Source organism: Homo sapiens, chromosome X (genome assembly GCF_000001405.40).
Source record: "Homo sapiens chromosome X, GRCh38.p14 Primary Assembly".
Classification (NCBI taxonomy): Eukaryota; Metazoa; Chordata; class Mammalia; order Primates; family Hominidae; genus Homo; species Homo sapiens.
Window position 1 is genome coordinate 24,926,987 of NC_000023.11, and position 24,602 is coordinate 24,951,588.

The 24,602-nt window shown below is 38.2% G+C and overlaps 1 protein-coding gene across 10 annotated transcripts in view; it reads left to right on the forward strand.

Annotated features, from left to right (window-relative positions):
- The window catches only part of POLA1 (DNA polymerase alpha 1, catalytic subunit), a 303,069-nt gene that overhangs the window by 233,069 nt on the left and 45,398 nt on the right, over positions 1-24,602 (forward strand). For 7 of the 10 annotated variants that reach the window (NR_165483.1, NR_165482.1, NM_001330360.2 and 4 more), the window contains one exon: positions 3,467-3,563. Coding sequence is in view for 8 of the 10 variants with exons in the window: in NM_001330360.2 (NP_001317289.1) it covers positions 3,467-3,563 (97 nt within the window). In the remaining 2 variants the exon portion in view is untranslated. Of the gene's footprint in view, positions 1-3,466; positions 3,564-7,094; positions 7,716-8,712; positions 21,346-24,602 lie in introns of those variants that run through there. The other 3 variants (NM_001440806.1, XM_017029595.3, XM_017029594.3) reach the window with 3 other exon arrangements.

Below are 24,602 nucleotides of genomic sequence, written 5' to 3' on the forward strand. Positions count from 1 at the left end.
ACACCCAGCTAATTTTTGTATTTTTTTTTTTAGTAGAGACGGGGTTTCACCATATTGGCCAGGCTGGTCTCGAACTCCTGACCTCAAGTGATCTGCCCTCCTATGCCTCCCAAAGTGCTGGGATTACAGGTGTGAGCCACCACACCCAGCTATCAGTACTTTTTTTAAAGCTCTTGGGGTGACTGGTTTGCAGCCAGGTAAGGGACCACTGATATAGGACCTCATCAGAAATCTCAGGAGAGAGACTGGATAATATTGATAAATGGATTCAGGACTATGTTTTGGTCATAAAGTACTTTGACTTGGAGAAAGAATGAAGTTTGCGTTGTTTCTAATATAATCTGATTACAGGATTCAAAAAGAACACATAAAAAACGGTGGTATTAAAGCATTTTCCTTTTCCCTTCATTTCTTCAACAATATTTGCCAAGTCGTCCCCTGTGCCAGGTATCAAAACAGAGTTCTTTCCTTACCCCTGTGTGTATATGGACCTATGAGTGCACCCGTGGCCCACCCTTATTACTCTGGTAACACTCCAAGTAACTAACTTGAATGCAGAGCGTGATACATACAGTAGCTATTTCAGCTCAGTATTGTCCTTACCAAATCACAGTCGGCCACTTTGGTACATGATGTTCTAACTATAAAGGAAGACTGAAAGAAGCCTAGGCACTGTGTTGAGTGCAATTTTCAAGGAAAGAGCAAGAAATCGAACATTTTAAACCAATAAGTGAAAGCTGGAGAGAGAAAGAAATGTTAAAATATCATCTTATTTTCTTGAAGTATTTTCCATCCAATCTTGTACAGTCAAAATGAGCATTTAAGTGTGAGGAAAAAAACGCTGAAGATCTCAGATAAGACTAGAGAGTGTCAGGTTTCTTGATTAGAAGAATTTATCATCAAAGGCAAAAGAGAAAAGATGGTAAAGATTTTTTAAAAAACAAAAAATCTCCAAGGGATCACAAATTAGTGGTGCAAAATCAAGACAACAAAAGTAGGTGTTATTCTTGTTCATTTAAACTATAGTTTTCTCTGTTTCATGTGTGTTTTTTAAAACCACTTAATTGTATTTGACATTGAAAATGTAATAGGGCCTTTTGTTTTCAACCAGTTTACTAATTGCAAAATATGTCAGGAATCAAAAGGGCAGGAGGTGTTGGTATATTTTTTTAAAATATATAACTCCTTTTTAATTTTTTCCCCTATTTTCCTTATCCATTTAGGCAGTGACTTTCAATTAGCCTGCCTACTAATATCAGGTCACTAAACTCCGTGGCTGACGCTTTATTCCTTCATGTGGGTTGTCACTCGTTTGCTTCAGTTGGCTGGCAAAGGTTGTTGTATATCCATTACTAGCAACACAGCACTTTGCATTTCTGAATTGACAAGCAGCTATATTGACCCAGCGCTTATTATGGGTCAACAGCTGCGTTAACCAACGGAAGGACTGAGGGGCAATTAAAATGAATTGGCAAAAATATATCTTCCTAATTTACTCCAATTTGTTATTTATGCTAACATTGTATGGCTTCTATGGTGACACTAAACAGAATGGACCCAATAATGGCAATTAACATAAAAATATAATGGCTAATCAAATTGACAGCAACTGTTTCTCATCATCTCGACACACAATACATTATCAAAACAAACTATTATGAAGGAGGTAATTTCAGTGTTCTATTCAACCTGCAGCATGTGTGCAGTCAGGGAGATGTGTACCAGCAATTACTGCTGAATCTAAAAAACTAAACAAATAACTTAATCGCTGTCGTCCTCCTTTTTTTTCCCCCAGGAAGCAGTAATCAGGATTCGCTAAAAATAACTGGTGTATAATAGTATAATGATGATGCATATTGTAGAATAGCTAATAAGAAATAAAATAGGCTTCTAGGTGTATACTTTTTAAAGTAGGTTCAGGTAAAGAAAGAGAGACTTGTGGAAGGAATGCGCCCACAAAAAAGACAATAGCCCTGACCGATAAATTGCTCCATGTGGGTTTGTTCCTGCTACCGAATATTTATAGATACCATTTGTAATGGCCAAAGAAGTATAAAATACACTAAATTTAGTAACACATTTTATAAGGGAATGAGCAGAAAGGTGAAGTGTGAGCTCTAATAACTGAATTTTAGTTACTCCTGCACCAAATTGGGTTGGCTATAATTTTTCATCATTAAGACCCAGCTAGGATCCTTGGATCTAATACTTGGTTACTCAAAGAGATTCCCTTTGAAAATAGTGCTATTTCCATATCCAGTTGTAGATAGTGGTTTTCCTTAATTTCTTATTTACATGATAGTCTGTGTGTGCCACCTGGCCTTGCTGCATGGATTGTACAAATGACTTGGCTGTTGTGGTCATTCATAAATTCATTCATTCAACCAACTTGGCACACAGTGGGTGTTCAGTGTTGGTTAAATTACATGTCATTCCAAGGCAGCAAGGGAGAAACTGGTAACATGTTTGTCATTTGATCTTCTCATTTGAAAAGTTCTGAGGGCTTAGTTGTTTCACCTTGGTAGGACCCCTCAAAGAAAACACCAAAGCTTGAGCTCATTGTTCCCCAGCTCGCAAGTTTCCCAAGTGTCTAACCCCTTGGGAAGATGGAAAGAAAGTTTGTAGGTCAGTTGATTTAAAATAGATAGAAGTGCATTTGAATGTGACTCCCCAAATAATTCTCATATTGGTTATTGAATTGACTGCATGTATTTTTTTCCCACACAGAGTGAGACACAGTTGCTTAGAATACACAGTGACTCTAAATAACCTCAGGAATGTTTAGTATATGTTTGCTGAGTGAATAGTAGTTCAGACACGTCTCCTACACTTTGTTGAATTGGAACTTGGCAAGGTCATTAAACGAGTGTTTTGACATGGGTGGGATGAAAAGCCTTGGTTATTTCATTTCACATGGTACTTCTCAGAGATCATACGTTGCCCACTTAGGATTACCACAGAGCAAATAGTCAAGATGTTACTGTGAGTCTGTGAGCCAATCCTGGCACAGGCAATGGATTGTCACCACAAATCATAAAACGGGGCTCATGGTATAGCAATATGTATTAAACAGTTTTCAGAATTTGTTTAACTTCCTGCTAGCATGGACAGGGCCCAGTTAGGAAGCACATAGCACTTTTCCCAATTAACAGTGCAAATTGTCATGAGTGCATAGGAATTTGCAGTTTGACAAAATCAGGTTTTTGACAGCAGGGGTAATCAGTCTGCAGCTTCGCAAGTAGTAATCTATGATCGAAGTGGCAGGATTTATTCTGAATTATGAAAGGTGTATATGCTATATAAGAGGGACAAACCATTAGTATGATTCTGCCCTTCTTACCCACTTTCTTTAAAAAATGCTGCTTGATTTGGAAGTTGAAAGTAGGGGATACACTCTGCTGAGAGTGATCCCCATCGCTTCCCCCTCCCCAGTAGTAGTATTCATTTATTTTCTGTTATATTACAGTATTCTGACAAGTCCCTGTACACCCAGCTGTGCTTTTACCGGTACATTTTTGATGCGGAGTGTGCACTGGAGAAACTTACTACCGATCATGAGAAAGGTACGTTAAAATACTGTAATTACCTTTGAGTTTAAAGTGGAAATTTGCATTATAAAAGCCAGACCTACTGTGTCAGGCTGTTCATGCAGCATCACATTGCTGTCTCAGAAGCAGGCCGTGGGGGCCTATGTGAACACAGGGATCCCCTGCATGAGGGGCGGTGGCATAGGAATCCCCAGCTTTGGCCCCCACAGCCTGTTTCACATTGTCCTCTATTAAAGCAAGGCTTTGGGGGAGGAACAGTACAAAAAGGACTCTTTAAATGCTATATTTTGAAAATGCTATTTTCTACAGAGTTTAGTAACTGTAATAAAGTAAGCATAGGCAACGTGATCATTGGGCCTACAAAAACCAGATATTACTGCAAAAAAATAGACTTGGAGTGTGTCTCTGCTGTTCGCTAAAAGCCTGGGTTCGTTTTGAGAGAGGGATGAGGTGGAGTTCCTTTATTGACTCCATCCTAAGAGAGTATATAGGCGCCTCAGCCCGTATGATCAGCTGTTGCATGGAACCCTCAGCACTCGGCGTTTCCTTATACAAGACTTGCGGGCACTGTGGGACTTAATGGGTCTGGGAAAAGCTTTGTTACATAACTTAAAGTATTTGAAAATGTCATGACAACTGCATGTTTGTTTTTTTTTTCTCCTACCTGAAAATCACATTGACAACTTTTCTATTACCTGTGAAAAATAAAAAAGGCAGATTTATACATTTTTCTTATTAGTTACCTACAGAGTGTTTATGTTGTTTGTCAGCGAGTATCAATTCAACGTTTTGTTGGTCGGTACTAGGGCTGGAAACAACCGCAATGACATTAAAAACCTACAACTATTGCTAGATTTCCCCGCATAAGAATCCCCATGCTGCCCTTGATTTGTTCTCACTGTTTTTAATTCCAGTCATAATTGACTTGTTTTTCCATCCACAAGATAGGCTAGAAATTATTTTTTAAATGCCTTGACTTATTTGGTTTTGCTGTCCTTGGAGAGAGAGCATTTTACAACTGATGGAGAAGCTGGTTCAGATATTAGTATCTTATCTCTAGATGTTCAACAAGGACTTGAGCTATCTCCACAGCATATTTTCCATGAATTAGTAAAATTTATACAGAGAATAAATTTATTCTGCCTATTAATAACTAAGTTTTAGAACTTTTATTCATGGTCAATGTCTAGCCCATATATACTTGTAATATCATTTACAGCTGTTTTTCTTTTATCCCCAAGGACCTTTCCTAAAGACAGTTATGAGTTGAGAAAATTAAGTACTGATTATCTGAACGCATTATCTGTTTCTATCAGGTCTGTTACCTCTTTCTGAATATCAGTATATTAGAACCTGTTCCTCTATTACTTCTTTTTTTTTTTGAGACAGAGTCTTGCTCTGTTGCCCAGGCTGGAGTGCAGTGGCACGGTCTCAGCTCACTGCAGCCTCCGCCTTCTGGGTTGAAATGATTCTCCTGCCTCAGCCTCCCAAGTAGCTGGGATTATAGGCATGTGCCACCACACCTGGCCAATTTTTGTATTTCTAGTAGAGAGGGGGTTTCACCTTGTTGGCCAGGCTGGCCTCAAACCCCTGACCTCAGGTGATCTGCCTGCCTCAGCCTCCCAAAGTGCTGGGATTACAGGCGTGAGCCACTGTGCCTGGCCAGCCCATTATTTCTTTCTAAATCTATCCATCCTAGATTGTTTTCTATATGTTATTTGAGGGGAAAGATTCCTCTTCCCTATACGGCTCTAAAATTCTTATCTGAGAGGCAGAATCAGTCTTTTATGATCAGCAGTTTTCAAAAGGTCTGGCAACTCTTGGAGGCATGTAGAGGAGTGATCTGGAAAGTCACTGGAGATTTAGCCCATCCTCTTAGAGGACACTGAGAAGTGCACGTTATTACACCCACAGAAAATAAGAGGAAATAAGTAGCCGCTTGGAAGCCTCTTGCTTGGCTAAAAGGGAAAAGTATTGACAGGATCTGTACACTCAGAGTTTACTGTAGTCCCATTTCACAAGTTTAAGGATCAGTACACTTTTTTATTGTTTGTATCTAATAATATACTACCCAGCAATTCGGGGCAAAAATGGCATTGAGTTATCGATGGGTTCTTTTATATATCAGAGGGCTAAAGAAAATAAGACGAGAAGAGAAAAAAATATATGTGACTGAAGGAACTTCATGAAATGTTCCAAGAGCCCTTTTGTTTTATTTATTGAATTTTACCAATTGAAACTCTTTGAGTTTCCTGCTGTTTATTTATTATTCCTGAATTACAGTTTGGGAATGAGTGAATTAGCTGAAATTTACATGCTCCAGGCATTTTCAGATCATGCAGTAATGCTAAGTGGTATTAGGGTATTCATAAGTGGTGGGATATAAACCAAAACTTGGGGGCACACTTACCAAGAGCAGAGGTTTCCTAACACATGACATCTGATAAGCCCTCTCCTAAGAGTCACCTGGGGCATATTAAAAACCCAAATCCATAGATCCTATGTCCACAGATTCTAATTCAGAAGATGTTGGGGGTAGAGCTTAGGAAGCTATAATTTTTTGAAAATTCCCCCAGATAATTCTGCCGTGCAGCCAAGTTTGAGAACCCCTCTCCTGGGCACTCTAAAGACATAGTTGGATGGTTTCTAAATAAAAGACAATTGAATGCAAGGTCATAGTTCATAGGGAACAATGGGGGAACAAGAATATTCTTATAGTAGAGAGGAGAACAATTATAGGGGAAAACACCATAAGTTTAAAATAGTATAACAAATAAAATTGACTTCTCACTTTATAAGTTGGAGTGAATTCTCTTTTGATTTGCTATTCAAGGGAGACCTGCTATTAAAATGAGTTTAAAATCTAAGGGAACCGGAGGGCAAATATATTTATTCAATTTGGACCATGGCCAGAACACCAGTAGATGTTAACATCAAAAGTCCTGTGAAAAATGACAGTCGTTATACACAGTTATATTATTGAGAATGGAGTCTAAGTGTCTTCTGTCAACAAGTGCCCCGTAACTGGTGTGTGAAGTATTTACTGTAGACTCTCCTTTACTGTCAGTACCTAGCAACATTTCCTTCACTAAGATTGTTTTACCATTTCCATCATAAAGCCCATATTTTAAGGGTTGTAACTGGATGGTGGTTTTAATTTTTGTTTGAAACTTGGCAATTTGACTTAGAAAAACATGTACAAATTATTTGAAAGAGGTTTATTTTTATGGGGAAAAGTAGCTCTTGTCAAAGCTTTTTCTCTGCTTTGCTTTCAAACGAGAGTTTACAGACCATTAGTCCATAATGTGGATTAACCCCATTTGATATTTTTTCCTTCCTTTAAAATGGTAAAGGACTGTTATTCACGTTGGTGAAGTGTTTACTGCATATTTGCTGTAACTGCATTACATTTTTAAAATCTTATTTCTGTGGGACTTTGGCATTATTATTGTAACTGCTCCAGAATGTACACAGATGGCATAATGGATTCAAAGGCGGTTTTACAGGAACATAGGGGCAATCTATGAAGTAAAAATCCATTTCCAGGATGGCCGCATGAAATGGTCCCATTTGGCTGCCTCATCCCGTGGTGCCTTGGCCTGAGTAGGGGTAAGTGAACAGTTCAGGGGAAACCTGAATCAGTTCAAATCTAAATCTCCTTAAAAATGCAGGAAGAAAAAAGTCTCTTAGTTTTCTCAACTGAACCTTTGTTGTTGTTTATTCAGCAACAGTAAAAACAATTTGTTTATATATAGTTCCTATTAGGTGTTGAGTGACATTCCTCATGTCAGAGGAACAAAGGTGGATGGCCAACACTCCCTGCCCTGGAGGAGCTTAGAGTCTGTTGAGGAAAGACAGATTCAGCAACAACTAAGTGTGGTATGGCCTGAGTGTCACCACCAATAGGGTGAAATTATTTTGGAAGCAAAGAGAGGGAGCCACTAACTGCTTTTTCACTTCAGTGTTTGATCTTTCTTTAGTTCTAGAAAGAAACTTTTTTTTCTGTTTCTGTTCTCATTTAGTAGATGCTTCTCTCCTCATATTCTGTGTCAGCTATTAATAGTAAGATGGTGTATTCATTTGCTAGGACTGCTATAACAAAGTACCATGGATGGGGTGGCTTAACTATATTTCCTCACATTTCTGGAGGCTAGAAGTCTAAGAGCAAGGTGTCAGCAAGGTTGGTCTCTCCCCAACTTTTTTTTTGAGACGGAGTCTCGCTCTGTCACCCAGACTCGAATGCAGTGGTGCGATCTTGGCTCACTGCAACCTCTGCCTCCTGGGTTCAAGCAATTTTCCTGCCTCAGCCTCCTGAGTAGCTGGGATTACAGGTGCACGTCACCACGCCCAGCTAATTTTTGTATTTTTAGTAGAGATGGGGTTTCACCATGTTGGTCAGGTGGGTCTCAAACTCCTGATTTCATGATCCAGTCGCCTCGGCCTCCCAAAGTGCTGGGATTACAGGCATGAGCCACCACACCCGGCCAGGTCTCTCCTCAACTTCTAGGGAGCTATCTTCTCCCAGTGTCTTCCCTCTGTACCTAATCTCCTCTTCTTATACTGACACTGGTCATATTGGATTGGGTCCCACCCTAATGACCTCATTTTAACTTAATTCTTTAAAGGCCTTATACAGTCCATTCTAATACAGTCCACTCCAGATACAGTCTCATTCTAAGGTACAAAGGGTTAAGACTTCAACCTACCTTCAGTATGAATTTTGGGGGGGCACAATTCAGTCCATAACTGATGATCTACTTGAATTTCTTAATAAATTCCTTTGAACACTGCCGGAATTGGAACACTAGGATGTAGAATTCTGTTGAAGACAGAAATTGGAATTGCAGCATAGAGGCTAGCTAAAAGATGACAATTTACCCATAGGAGAAGTATCCGTTGGAAAGCCTGACTTCCCAGTGGGGGTCTCTTTAGGCCTAGATGGACTATTCTTCAGGTCACCCTGTTTCTCACAAAGTGCTATGGGCAGCCTTGAGTGCCCCAGCCTCCTGAGCTGCACCTGCAAAGATTGCAGTTTTCTTGCTCCTCTCAACCAGGTGAAATCCCACATTCACTTCCCCTCTTGAGCCTCATATGCTTTCTTTTCTTTTTTTTTCCTTAAACTTTTCAGTCTCTTGTCATCTCTTTTCTTCTGTCTTTTCTTTAGGCCTGGTGGTAACATCTGTAGGCCCTCTTGTTTCCTAACATGCCACCCAGAAGAACTAGGCTGCCCCTTTTAAGGTACTTCATAGTTTCCTATTGTCCTTTCACGTGTGTAACACGAGTTCTCACAGTACTCCTGTGAGGCAGCAGTGGATTGTGCTCATTATATTGATGAAGAAATTAAAGTTACTAAAGTTCCTTGACATTTGCAGATTTAACGCTTGTCGCTTGAACTCTTTGCAAGTGATACTGAAGGTAGGTAACATGTTAGTGTGTGTTATTTTGCTGATGCCAGATTTAAATTGAACTGAAAGAATATCCAGTCACTTAACTAATGAGCAAGCCAAGCCTACTGCTCCTCACCCACACTGCCACGGGGTCCTGTTCTGTGTTCCCCATCAGCTAAGTAGTTACACTCATGAAGTGCTAATAGTTATATTACTTTGTGGAAAATGGTCTCCAAAACAAAGACAACAGCTAGTACTGAAAAGGGTCTTAAAAGGTAGTATTTTTTAAGCCAGAAAATAAGAGTTTTATAGAAGAAATTATATGCTTTAGTGTATATGGGAATGTGGAGATTTTGGAAAGTCTCAAGATGGGTCCCATTTCAGTGTTAAGGATTTCCGCTATATTTCCTGAACTGTTAAAGTGAAAGCAGGAAAGTTTCATCATGAAAGTAGCAAAGAGCCCCTGTGGTCCTCTCTAAGCTAGTTGACATCCTTAGAATTTACTTGGTTAAATCCTTAACAAAATATTAAAAAGAAGACTGTGTCAGAGAGCACCTGTCTGGTCCTTTTCTTCTTATTGCCACTTTTTGAAGCCCACTGGTTGTGTTCTGTTTTTTGGTTTTTTTTTGAGACGGAGTCTCACTCTGTCGCCCAGGCTAGAGTGCAGTGGTGTGATCTTGGCTCACTACAAGCTCTGCCTCCTGGGTTCACGCCATTCTCCTGCCTCAGCCTCCCGAGTAGCTGGGACTACAGGCATCTGCCACCACGCCCGGCTAATTTTTTGTGTTTTTAGTAGAGATGGGGTTTCACCGCGTTAGTCAGGATGGTCTTGATCTCCTGACCTTGTGATCCACCCGCCTCGGCCTCCCAAAGTGCTGGGATTACAGGCGTGAGCCACCGTGCCCGGCCTGGTTGTGTTATTCCATCGAAAAACTGTTGCTGAATTTTGAGGGCAAGCTTTTTCTGTTTTTAATAAGTAATAACAGGTAAAGCACACACAAAACAGTTCGCATCTATTCATTCTTCTTAAAATTATATTTTTTATATTTGTGCAATTTTCTTTAGAAAAATAGATTTTAAGATGGGTAACTGTAAACTGCATTTTTAATTTCATTTTCTTACAAATAAAAAAATGATCTGAGGGTTTTTAAAAATTGTTTCTTTGATTAAGGGAATTTTTATGGTAGGAAGCTCTGACTTGACAGTTCAGAACATAGCTGTCTGTTTATTATAAAGAAGTGATTGTAGAAATACGTAAAGAATTTTGGTAAGAAAAAAGTGGTTTATATAATCTTGAGCCTCTGGGGGTTGTTATTGTTAGATATTACATAGGTTTAATCTTTAATGACATATATAATGATAAAATACAAAACTAGATAACTTATGATTCTAATTTGTGGTGTATATGCAAGGTAGAAAAATTAGTAAGGAACACTAGAATTTGTTATAGTTATCTCTAGGTGGATTATAGCTTTTCTTTTTCTTTATAATTTTATATATTTTCTACATTATGTACTCTGAGCATGTACTGCTCTCATAACATGAAAAAAATTATAAGCACTAAAATGTTATAGAGAATGTTACTCAACTTGAAGTAATTACCCAAATAATTTCACAATTGAGGGAAAAAATAACATAGAAATGAACCCAAACCAGCTTTTTTTCTCCGTGTATTTTTTTCCAAGTCAAACCTAAGGCCTTGTTACTCCAAGTGTGATCAGTAACCCAGCAGCATAGGCATCACGTGGAAGCTTGTTAGAAATGCACAATATCAGACCCACCCCTGACCTACTGCATCAGCATCTGCATTTTAACAAGATCCTCAGGTGATTCCTCCGCGTGTTAAAGTTTCAGAAGCACTGATCTAAGACACTCTCCCTTAATAACTAAAGCCTACTTCTATTTTATTCATTCATTGATTAGGGCCGTCCTTTTGGTAAAACTTTAAAACAACAACTATGCAGGCTACAGAAGGACTACCCAAGTTTTAAGGTAGAATTCATATCACAACCTGGCCTTTTGAAATATGTTTTTATTAAGCTAAAAATGCAGTGGTCTGACAAGGGCTAAGAGAGGGGAAAAAAGCCAAAAAGCATGAGTTCTTCCACTTTGTTTCTTCGTAACTAGAAGGAACAAGGGAGAAGTAAATTAGGATTTTCAAAATAGCTTTCAGCTTTTTAAGATTAGTGGCTTATAAAAGAAAGAACTAAGGCCGGGCACAGTGGCTCACGCCTGTAATCCCAGCACTTTGGGAGCACTTTGGCAGGTGGATCACCTGAGGCCAGGAGTTTGAGACCAGCCTGATCAACATGGTGAAACCTCCGTCTCTATTAAAAGTAAAAAAATTAGCCAGGCATGGTGGCACGTGCCTGTAATCCCAGCTACTTGGGAGGCTGAGGCAGGAGAATCGCTTGAACCCTGGAGGTGGAGGTTGCAGTGAGCCGAGATCGCACCATAGCACTCCAGCCTGGGCCACAGAGTGAGACTCCATCTCAATAAAAAAAGAACTGGAGTGTAGTTCTACACCCACTTCGTGTAAGGGCCACTCTCTATGTGCCCAGAGTAAAGTTTCACCCTATCACTACATTCTGGACCTCATTACAACATTGATTTAGTAGTATTTTATAAAGATTTCAAGGCATTCAACTAGATTCTTTTAATGGAAACAAGATTCTATTTCTTAAATTTTGCTACTGAAAAGTTTATTTTGAAATTTTCTTTTTCCTACTGTCACTGACTTTTCTGTGATGTTTTTATACTCACTACAAGAACGAGAAAGTTGGTATTGTCTGATGGCAGCATGCAGCCTGCTAACACTGGTTTATTTTTCTCTATGGATACTGCCTGTTTTGTTTTTGTTTTAACTTGAGATAACTTTACAATGTGACAGAAGAGAAACTACATTTTCCAAGAAATGGTCACTTTAGTTGCTTTCCCCATAAGTAGAAGTGTCTTGGCTCTGTACATTTTCTGCCATCTTCTTCAAGATAGCTAAGTTAGTATATGAAAGTTGCCATATTTTGGAGCAGCCAGCTTCCAGATTCTAATTATGTGTCTTTAAGCCCATTTCTGTAAATATGCACTCAACGTTTGCACTTTTATGTACAAAGAGACTTAGAGGCTTTCTATGATAACAGATGTGTTACTCGTTCTATAAAATCATTTCGCATTATGTCTTTTTAGTGGGCAAGTTCCTTTCCCCTTTTATAGTGACAGGTACAGCAACACAAGGGCTCTGCCATGTCTAGGTGATAATGTGGTTGATGGTCTGCATTTGCAAAGCATATTGTCATTTTTTAGTAGGAAAAATACTAAAGATTGATAAGTTTTTTTATGTACTTCTTAAAAATATGCTTCTATCACCAATGATGAAAAAAATGAAACAATTCGCAAGCAGTTAAGCCATAATGTGAGCTAATCACTTTATTTTGAAGAAAAGTATTTTTAAACAGTTGAGCTAGTGAATTTACTTTTAAAATGTATTGTGCTTACACAGTAGATGGTTTTATTTCCATGATGTTTTTTACTACATAATTATACATCTTAATTACGTAATTACTATCATAATTATTATGTAATTGCATGTACTTCCACTAATTACAAAATCAGGAAGTGTAATTATCTAGTAAAAACTTTATGAAATTTCATGCACTAAAAGTTAGTTAAAAGGCTATTCCAGTGGTCTAGTGGAAGGCTTTCCATGGTTAGTCTTCTTAGTCATAACTTTAGTTTAGAGCTGGAACTCATAGGCCAGGACAAGGATAAGTGCCAACAGACCAACACTAAACTGAGTATTGTGGTATGGGTAAGATAGACTTTGTCCCTTGTGATTTAAAAAGTCAGAGAGCATTTTAATTTTTTTGTGACTATGGAGTGTGGTAAGAATAATATCTAAATGTTTGAGGTAGGTACCACAAAAACTGTCAATGGAAAGGGCAGTTCTTTCTTAGGAAGGAATTGATTAATAGAATCAACAAGGCATTTAGGTTACACAACAGCAAGGTCTTCTATAATTCTGTAATGTGAATGGCTTATTTAATAGCTATCTCTGCCTTTAAAAGCAATAATGATATTCAGTTTTCTGTTTCTTCAGTTTGGAGAAGGTGTTTTTCCAGTTTGTGTTTATATTTACTAAGATATGAGCAAACGTATCAAGAGAGCATACTCCTTTCTACTACTTGATGTCAAAAGCAGCTTTTGAGACATAAACATAAGCGCACAAACATGTAACATCAGACCCTAAATAAAGACAAAAGGTTTAATTCAATAAAGCTATGATGCCTTTACCATTCAAAACGACATAAAAATTGCACAGTGAAACAATAGTCATGACAGCAAATTAGATATGACATCTAAATTACACTACAAAGAGAAATCCCAGAACCGTTTTTGGTCTGTAGGAGCCTATTTTAGCCCAGGTTTAGAACCCAATCTAGAGGCTCTGCTTTATTGTCTAAGTAGGGTAATGTTGTAGAAGACTAATTGGACGTTGGTTGAATTAATTGCACATCAATTAGGAGGAAAGGGCTTGTAATACTCATGGCAGAGAAGTGAGTAGATCCTTTAAGTATCATGATGGAATGTACTATGAGTTTCAGGAATTAATATTATCAGTATTTGGGTAATATCTGTATAATCTATTACAACATGACCTAAATCAAGCACTTGGGGTTAGATACAGGTATACTAATTTCCTCCCCAAAATTAGTGCTTCTCACTAGAAATGTATTGAAACAGCCACTTAAAATGTATGAGTTATTTCTTTTAAAAATGTAGCCTTAAACATTAAAAGGTTCAGCTCAGGAGATCAGATATTCGTTTTTTTCTTAAAACTTTCTAACGAAACACTCATTGTGGTATTACCAGTTATTGAATTTGTGACTTTTTTATACTAGCTGAAATTTCCAATAAGTGTGAATTTTTTTAAAAAGTCAGTGAACGGTGTGAAAATGCCAGTCCCATTTGCTTCAGGCAAATTATAGGATTTATATTTATCCAGAATTGTTTCATGGTCTCAGAGATGTTTGGGATTTAAACAGATTTAGTCTGACTCTGCTATTTTTCTCTAGTAGTTAGGGGTTATTTTAAAATTGCATATTTTTTTCCTCTTGGGAATCTTTTCTCATTTACTTAGCCCAGAATTTAATGTCTTAATCATTTCTTATTTGCCTTAACTCTATTGTGATAACATTTCTTCTCATGGTTTCAGAAGTGTTTATGCTCCCTCTATGAGACAGCACTGCCTCTCACGTTTCCTCTTAATCTTTTGTTTTTGTTTTGGTGGTTGGTATTTTTTATTTTTATTTTTTTTTACTAGTGCTTGTACCATGCCAGAATAGCCCTTAATGGTTAAAAGCAAAGTGTTCACTTAATCCTCATCTTTTCAATTATAATACAAATTTCATTTTGAAGCTGACATTTAAACTGACATTGTTGTGTTTTGTTTTGCTTTGCTTTCTTGCTTTGCATGTGAATTGGCATATGTCATTATCCTATAATTCTTGATAAATTTTTCATAATTATCTAAGGGAATCAACCGTAACTTTTGAAGTCTAATTATGTCCTTGTGATGTCTCCAGTAACCCTGTAGGCCCAGGCCAAGAACTGATGTTGATTTTCACATTATTAATCAGTGCCATTTATTATTTTATGCTGTACTATCTGGTTCATATAATGCTACCCTTCATATACAAAGAAAACCCATCATCAATTTGACTCATTCTTAAACTAGTTCTTCCTGTAGTTGTCATGAATTTATTTAGATCCATCTGCATTCTCTTACCTTGTGGCTAACAGGACAGTAACTAGACAGACTTAGTAGCCCATCATTGAGTTAAATCAACACTGATTACATTCTCCCTGTATAAAGGCCCTGGGAAACCCTTCTCTCCTTGGCCTGTGAGCCCTGCAAGCCCTAGCACCATCCCCTAGAGCTTAAGGCTTAAACTAGTTCGTAGAAAGATAGATTTGCTGGCTAATTTTAGACACTGATGTGCTTTTCTTGTTCTAAGAAATTATTGTAATTTCAAATAGGGTCAAAAAAGCAGGTCTGTGTGTAAGTCTGTTACTCTCTGTCCCCTCTTCGTGCCCTGAACCCTTGCCCAGTTTATTCAGCAAATATGTATTGGGTCTCTGTCCTATATGATATTGCTTCTAGAAGTACCAATACTTCTGACCAATTGCTTATTCATGCATTCACCTCTAAATACCTCCTTTTTATAGGACTCTACTTTTGTGGAGAACATTCACAGCCATTATCTTTTACATTTTCCAGACAATTCCATTGTATACGGATATGTAGTTGACACTTCTGAGATGAGAAACAACCCCAAAAGGATGAAATGACTCTCCCAAAGTAGCAAAGCTTAGAAGTGTTAAGAGCCCGGCTTTTCTTTCTGCCATATCTCAGCTGCCCTGTTCTTAATCTATTAGGGAAACTTCAGCCTGAAGACAAGTAACTCAAATACAAGGGAATGGTATGAATTGCTGAGGGATCTCAGCATATACCTCAGGGAAGGTTTCCTGGTGGAGATTTCCTGAGTTGGGCCTTAAAGAGTATGTGAGATTTTAATAGGCACAGATGCAGACATGTAGTTTGAGACGAAGTTTTGCCTTTCTCACTTTTCTTTAAGTGCCCTATTTATCTTGCTTTTATAAAGGGAGAACTTCCTTTGACAAATGCATCATGATTTGAAAGCATATCTGAATTGAAAATTTCGTCTAAAAGTGCTTATTAAGAAGCAAAGCTTTAAACTCAGGACTATAAGCTTGAAGGGCATTATTTTTTGAGATAGGGTCTCGCTCTGTCACCTAGGCTGGAGTTCAGTGGCACGATCTCTGCTCACTGCAGCCTCGACCTCCTGGGCTCAAGTGATCCTCCCATCCCAGTCCCCCGCCCCTAGTAGCTGAGACTGCAGGTGCGTGCCACCACGCCCAGCTAATTTTTGTATTTTTTTGTAGAGATGGGGTTTCACCATGTTGCCCAGGCTGGCCTCAAACTCCTGGACTCCAGCAATCCACCCGCCTTAGCCTCCCAAAGTGCTGGGATTACAGGCGTGAGCCACTGGGCCCGCTGTCCTTGAAGAGTATTCTCTCTTCACTCTCCACTCTCCACTCTCCACTGTAACCAGTGGTGGTGCTTTGAAAGAAATTGATCCATCCTACAGGATACATCTGTCAAAAGTGTATCAAAATGTTTTTCTATCTTAAATAATTTAACTCAGAATATAATAATGTAAGTATTTTGACATGAAAATTTACATACTGTGATATATCCACTTATCTTAAAACAGACGTCTTTAACTATAAAGAAAAGGAGTGTGGTAAGACAAAACAAAATAGAAATTGGAATTAAATGGGATGACTGACAGACCAAACTAGTTTTATTTAGACAATAAAAATTAAAGTCCTGTTAGCATTATGACGAAAAAAATGTAAAAATGTTTTACTTAAAGCATGGCTGATTTTTTGTTGTGTTTTGTTTTTTCACTAACACCATGGTGAAAGTTTAAACATGTAAGACCTGTTTATGAAGTAAATGTTTACTGCTGAACTAATTCTTCAAGTTTACTGGTATATTATATATTGCCTTACCAAAAAAAGTCGATGCTGAAAAGTCAGTAAAATCCACAGTAAAAGAAAGCGTCTGAACAGTAGTCTGTCTTGGGAAATTATTCAACAGAGTGCACTCTGGTCTCTGTTAGTGAAGGCTTTATCACTTTTAACAAATAAGCCGCAGTAAATTTATCAGTATGCTACAAAGAAATTTTCAAAATAATTAAGACTAAACTACACTTGTCAAAATAAATGAATGAAATACAATTTTGAATCATCTTTCTTCACTTATTGCTCATTTGCATAATTCAGTAACTTACACAGGAGTCTTTCAGTCATTGGTGTGAATTAGCAAGGTTCTGCTATTCCTTGTTGTACGGCAGGAATTACCCTACCATGTAATTAGCTATTCCAGACATGGACTAACGGGAAATACCAAAGGGCACAGCAAAATCTAAAGAGGCAAGGCAGGGAATCTAAAGACAAGAGACAATCAAAGACACCCAACAAACTCAAGCTGGTAGACCACAGGGAATTTTGAATGAAGCCTCTTAATTTATTTTGAGAATAAGAAATCAGTAGTATGAGAGAAATCTCAACAAGATTAGCTGACTAAGCCTACTTAAAAAAAATATCTCTATAGTGCATGGTGCGCCAGGTTAACCACTCCTGTTTGTTAGTCTGTATACAGCTCAACAAATAAGCGGCAAAGCTTTTCATGGGTATATAGTGGCTTTCCATTGAGGTTTTCACTCTTTGAAGGAGGTCATTTATACCAATGAGATCTGTAGATGCAAATTGCTTTCCCTATATGTGAGGGGTCATTCCTTTCACAGCCAGCTTGCTCATCTCTTTTATAAAGGTTTTGTTATTTTTGTACTGCTCCCAAAGGAATGATGAGAATTATGCCCCCCCACCCCCTGTCTAACTTAGCATCCAAATCTTTTCCCTCCAGCTCTGTGAAACTTTTGTGTGTTGATCTTTGGAAACAAAACAAGCTGTTGGCAGCAGCCTTTAACTCTGAATCAGGAAACTTTTTTCCTTCTTTCAACCTGAAATATCATCTCTTTAGATTTGCCTTTCTCGCCTAATTCTAAGGAAATATCTTTTTCATTGCAGCAGAGTGTCACTGTAACATGCTACAGGCATGTGGGAATTCCTGGAAGCAGTGTCCTCAAAATGCCATTTTTAGTTTGGCTCAAATGATGTAAGCTCTCACGAACTAGAGGAATAGAAATGAAGGGATCGATTTAAGGGTTAGCTATGAAAACCTAGCTTCTGATCTCATTACTGAAGTAAAGGGAAAGATAATATTTGTCTTTGCCTAGGCTCTAAGGAATCATACAAACATTCAACGGTTCTAGTTTGTTGTGTTCAGGAGTTTTAGGAAGGAGGAGCTTCAGGCATACCATGTGAATGCTCTGTAAAATGTTTGTTGTTTTGTTCCTTCCTTCTGCTAGCATTTGTTGAACACCAAGGGCATTGGCCTGGGTTTCTCAAAAGCAATATAGGGTAGTGATTAAAAACTCAGTCTCTGGAGTGAGAGTGCCAGGTGCAAATTTTGACTTTCCACCCCTTACTAGATAAGTAACCTTGAAGTACATCTATAAAACAGGAAAAAAATAGCACCTACCTCAAAGGGTTCTAAATTCAGCAGGATGACATGGAAATAGGCTAATATGTAAAACGTCTGGGACATTAAACAGGCAATACGTAAAATGCTTAGGACAGTGCCTGGCACATAGTAAGCATGCAGTAAATGTCAGTTGGTTTTATTACTTCTGAGAATACTTTGTCTAAACGACTATCTATTATAGTACTTAGTGTTACAACTGTATTTGAGTTGGTTTCTGCAGCCTGTCATTGACCATGTTTTGTTCAGATTTGTATCCTCAGCATCTAGCACAACACCAAACATGTAGCAAATGCTCGATTCATTTTTACCAAATGGTTACAGTATGAAAAAAGCATGGTCCCTGTTCTCAAGGAGCTTAAAATATATCTTGATAACTGTGTTTTAGTTTTCTTATCTATTGAAATAGCATCATGTCAGAAGTGTATTAAAAAGAAAACTTTAGTTCTCAGTCTTCCATACTTAATGGAAGAAGTTGAAACACGAATAATCTGCAAGCCAGATTTCTGATTGAGTAGGTCTGGGGTGGGACCCAGGCGGCAGTGTATTTAAAAATCTCCGCAGGTGATTCTGATGCACACCCACAGTGTTGGGAATCTCTGAGTTAGTGAAACTCTTCAAACTTTAATATTGCTTCTTGTCAAATATGCATTAAGTTTGACTTTGATATAGAAAGGGAGACTGGGTGGCATCTAGATAACAATTTAAACAGACAGTAGAAAGGAAAATGAAGTCAAACACAAGAATTATTTCCTAGATAAAGGAAGCATTTATGGTGCTGTATACGCTAATGTAGCATCAAAGATAAAGTGAAGAAAAATAGGCTAGGGAAAAGTAAGCAAGAAGGAACTGTTTTCTGGTAATGAGCAAACTGAAGATGAAATAAATGCATTTCAACAAAATTGGCTATAAAGCACATTATTTTCCCCCATTAACTTGCGTCATGAATGAAGGAATAGGGCTGCTGGGGAGGATGGGGGATCTTTCAAGGAGACTGGATAGGTAACTGGGGAGATATTAAGGTGGAGGCTAACCCAAACGTGGTACTTAGGAGCTTCTGTGGTTTGGATTTCTGAGACCATTCCCACCTCCTGTCCTCTTCTACTTACCTTGACACTCAGCTGACTGGATCCTGGGTAGAGCAGCCTTCCGCAACTTTATAATTTTGCACGTCCTCCAAGCGGTCTGGAACAGGATGGTAGTAGTAGAGGGTTTAGGAGGATATTCCTGTGTCCTGTGCTCATCTCTTGGGGTGCTCATCTCTTGGGGTGCTCATCTTACCTGGGGTGTCCAGGCAGGAGAAATAGCTTGACTGGCTATAGCTGGAGTTATAAAATAGTCTCAGATCACCCCTTTTTGCCTAGAAGGATTAGGACTGCACCTTGTTGGTACCCACAAATTAGACCCTTCTTCACCAGTCCCTGAGCAGGCCTTGACTCCACTATGGCCACATCCTTTGGCTGGTGTGGTTTCCCTGCCTGGGTTAGCCAACCTCAACCCAGTCTCTGTTCATATTCTATTCATACTTTAAGGCCTCCCAGCCATAAGTGATCTCTTTGTCCTCTAAACTCCTGTAGTTCTTAAGCACTGTCCCTCTTACATTATAATTATTTGAGGACAGGGATCATGCTTGATACATTATTTTATGTCTGATGGCAACTTGCTCATGATAGGAGCCTAATAAATGGTATGTTAAATTAATGTTTTCTGTAATAGAGCACTTTCTGACTCCATCCTCTTTTCTCTGCTATTTATTTCCTATTATGTCCTTCAACTGTGTCATAAAAAATTTTCTATCCATGTATGTATACATTCATCAAACATTTAGCCCATACCATCTCCTCATTCCACATGGACTTAATTTCCCACCTTAATCTGTCTACTTTCTGACAATTACTAATAGAGTTGGGCTGTGATATCATGTATCTCCAGAAGATTACATAAATTCCAGCCTAGAAATTTCTTTGTTTAAACCTTTAGGTTATATAAATCAAACTGATGCTCAGTCATATTAGTGGGATTAAGTTTGAAAGTCTAAAATCATACTTCAAATGAGGACTGTCTCAACCCAGGCACACTCCTTGCCCTCCAGAATTTATATACATTTGATAGCAGCTGGTTGTTTTCCCTGCAGATTCTTTTTTTTTTTTTTTTTTTTTTTTTTTTTTTTTTTTTTTGAGACAGAGTCTCACTCTGTTGCCCAGGCTAGAGTGCATTGGCGCAATCACGGCTCACTGCAGCCTTGACTCCCCAGGTTCAGGTGACCCTCCCACTTAAGCCTCCCAAGTAGCTGTGACTACAGGCATGTGCCACCATGCCTGGCTAATTTTTTGTATTTTTTTTTTAGAGACAAGGTTTTGCCATGTTGCTCAAGTTGGTCTGCAACTCCTGAACTGAAGAGATCCGCCTGCCTTGGCCTCCCAAAGTGTTGGGATTACAGGCAGGAGCCACCGCATCCAGCCACCTGCAGATTTTTCTAGTGATTCACAGTTTTAGCTCTCTGCTCCAGATGTGTTATTTGGTTGGCTAGCCTTTAATATATCTTGAAATGTCTGGAGGCCAACTCCAGAAAGCTCTCGTGAAGGTGGGAAGGTGAAGAACCGCTAAGAGACTTTCAGACTGGTTTTCTCTTATCACCCATGTGACTTTCAGTTGAGCAGCATGCAGGCACACGTATTAATGGCAATGTAGGTTTGTAAACAATACTACTAATAGGCTGGGGCTGGGGGAGAAAAATAGCCCACAAGAAATCTGGAGATACCTGTCTTGAGTGTAACCTGCAAGATATACTCTAACAGAGTAATCATTGCACGATATCATTGTGGGAGACTGAGCGAGTTAGAAAATCTATTCCTGGTTTGTCGCTGACTCACTTTGTGGCATGGGCAAACCATTATTACTCTTTGATTTAGTTGTTTTATTTGTTCGAAAAAGGGAAAATAACATGTGTTTAAAAAGCACTCTGAAATTCCTCTGAAAGGAGGTCTATAAGTGCAAAGTACTATTGTTGTTTTTATTATTATTATTAGTGTTCTAGTATGGTTTAGTTTTATGCCATGTAGGTCACAGATGTTTCAATTCTTCCGACTGATGAATTACAAAACACTTCCATCTCATTCTGTTTTATAGCGTTGATAACAGTTTAGCACATCTTTGTTTTAACCCCAGTTAAAGTATATGTCCAAAATAGACCTCATTAATAAAATACAATTACTAAATTAAATATATCTATGCTACTTTCTGTTTTTTTTTTTCCTCCTTAAAAAGGTGGTTACCAACAACTACTAAATAAGACCTTTAATTACTGCCAATCTTCTCTTGAAAGTAGCAGTGCTTATCTTGAGTAGTTTGAACTGTAAGTGGTATTCAGTACACAGTGGGGTTGTAATGCGATTATGAAGTGTAGCAAGTTAGTGATAAATAAGCGTGATAAACCATATATTTGTATTAGAAATAATATTTGAATTATCAACTGAATAAAAAGGCTGCAACTGCTGATTCCTTTGGGTGGGCATGTGATAAAAATAAAATACAGTTAAGTATACTTGGAATAAAAAATTGTGTATGCTTCAATATAATAGAAACCTTTTAAATTGAATGTGTTTTTGAGTTTATAGCATTTAAATTACTGGGAGAATTAAAAGATTTGCTTTGCTTTCTGACATTAAGCTTTTCAAATTAGAATTTTAAAAAACATTTCTAACTCATTCATCAGTAGAAGACTTTGGCTTTTATATAAGATACTATAGTTCTCCCCCATATTTTCAGTGATTTTCCAATGGAGTAGCAATAAAAAAACTTTAATTACAGTAAAACTTGCATATAAAATCATGCAAGAAGGAATAATATCATTTTCTTGCCTTTTTTTCCTTTTCAATATTTTAGTAATCATAGAAATAATTTCTTAATACTGGAGAATGGTAATTTATATAAAATAAGTAATACTGTGACTCTTATTTATATTTCACATGAAATGAGCAGTAAATTGTGTGCATTTATTTGTAAGTGTCCTAAGACATGGGACCACATGGGAAGAAGTATAGCTGCCATAGCGTCTTAGAAACCAGAGGTCGCATAGTAGCAGCCACAAACTGCGCATGACCTTTAAATGTGTTTAATTTGCCTGAAGAACACCTCAAATTTCTAAATGGTTGCTAATATTTTTTAGTGTGGGGAGTTCCTATAAAGAGCCAAATTTCTGGCATTTTTAAATAAAATCAATATGTGGCTACAGTAGGTCAACATTCCTGAATGGCCACAATTGACTGAAGCTGAGTAGCAGCTAAGCAGTTTGGACAGAATATGGGTTCTCCAGTTTGCCATAGCCTCACTGCAGCCCACTTCACTCATTTCTGTTATTCATGTGGTTACTATAAGCATTTGTTTGCTAAAAAATATCTTGAGGCATGTTTTTTTTTTCCTCTTTTTTTAACCAGCCCCCTCCCTTCCCAATAAAAAAAGAAAAAGAAGCCATGAAACTTGGGGGTTTAAACAGTAAAAAAAAAAAAAAAAAATCCAGCAGACATAAGTGTGTTTATTAAAGTAAATCATATAAAAATATAACTTACTAGCTAACCTGTTTATGGCACTGTATATTTTTCTTTTCTTTTTCTTTTTTTCTCTTTTTTTTTCTTTTTTTTTTTTAAGACAGAGTCTCGCTCTTTTGCCTAAGCTGGAGTGCAATGGTGCGATCTCGGCTCACTGCAACCTCCACCTCCCGGGTTCAAGCGATTCTCCTGCCTCAGCCTCCCTAGTAGCTGGGATTACAGGTACACGCCACCACACCCAGCTAATTTTGTATTTTTAGTTGAGACGGGGGATCACCATGTTGGCCAGGCTGGTCTCCAACTCCTGACCTTGTGATCCGCCCACCTCGGCCTCCCAAAGTGCTGGGATTACAGGTGTGAGCCACCACGCCCAGCTACTGTATACTTTTCAAAGCACTTTCACGTGTCCTTTGTCCTCTTATCCTCACAGCATCTCTGGGAGTAGGATAACAATTACATATTCATTTTACCAATGAGAAAAGCAAGTTTTGGTGGACACCATTAATTTATCCAGATTTGCAACTGCTACGTGTTGGAGCTGAGCTATAACTCATCTTCAGATTGTTCATCTAGAGTAACACTGTCCACCGGAACTCTTTGCAATGGTAGAAGTGTTCTGTATCTGTGCTGTCCAGTGCTGTAGCCTCTAGCCCCACATGTAGCTGTTGAACACTTGAATGTAGCTAGTGCGACTGAGGAACTGAATTTTCCATTTTACTTAGTTTTAATTAATTTAAATGGAAATAGTGACATGTGACTAGTGGCTACCTTATTGGGCAACACAGGACTCCAGAGTTCTTTTCCTCCTTCATTGCATGGTATCTTTATTTAACAGTCTTATTCTTTTCAATAAAGTTCATCAAAAGATTTCTGTTAGGTTTTCTGTAGTTACCCAAGTGGCAAACATCTGTTCCACCAGTAGTTCAACATATTAAAATATTGAATATTTTCTGTATCTGCTTAGATTGCCTTCCATAAAGATTTTGAATCATACACAGGTAGCATTCTTTGTAACAAAGTCAGGGGACCCAGTATTAAAGTTCTTAATGTATATTATCTCCCAAGATTCCTAGTTCAGATAAAGGGCATAATTAGAGGTGTGTTTAAGCATCAGAAACATGTAGATGACTAAGACCATCTCCTTCCCTGGTGTTTTTTATTTTCTAAGATACTAGCAGCTGTTACAGAGTCATGTAGGAAACTTAACATTCTCTGATAATTGATTGGCTGGTGTAAGTTGGAACAGAGTGACTTTTAGAAAGATGACCATTAGCTAAACTCTATCAGCGTTTATCATTAAATCCAAAATGACATTAACTTAAGACATGTTCCAATTTCAGAGATGTTATAACATAGGAGAGGAGATTTATCTTAAAATTGGTGAAATATGGTTTGTCAGTGGGCTTCATCTACATTTGGTCAGCTTATAACCAGGGACAGCATTGAGATGTAAATGTCAACTTCTGTTTTGCCCTGTGATTAATTAAACCCTTCATCTTCACCAAAACAGGTCCCCACCCCACCCCCGCCCCCATTGCTCTCTGCACTTTGGCTGTCCCCTTCCTCACTACCTTATCCTGATTACAATTAATTAACAGAAATCCTGGTGATTAGGAGTAGGCTTAAGCTCTTGCTCAGTAACAGTTTGATCACTATACAGATACTCACTTTCTTTAAACACCTCCCTACCCCCCCCCCCCCCCACCAAATGCAGACGAGGATATTTTATTATAAATAATACTGGAACAAGCTTAACCATCACCTTCTAGCACACAGGCAACTCTGCAGCACTCTTTTTTAGAATACCACATGCTGTAATTCAAATTATCACATTAGCTATCCAAACACACCATTTGTTTTTAAATACTGGTGTGTTTACCTGAATATTTCCCCTTTTCATCTTCCCGCCCCACTTCACCAGTACATTGTCACT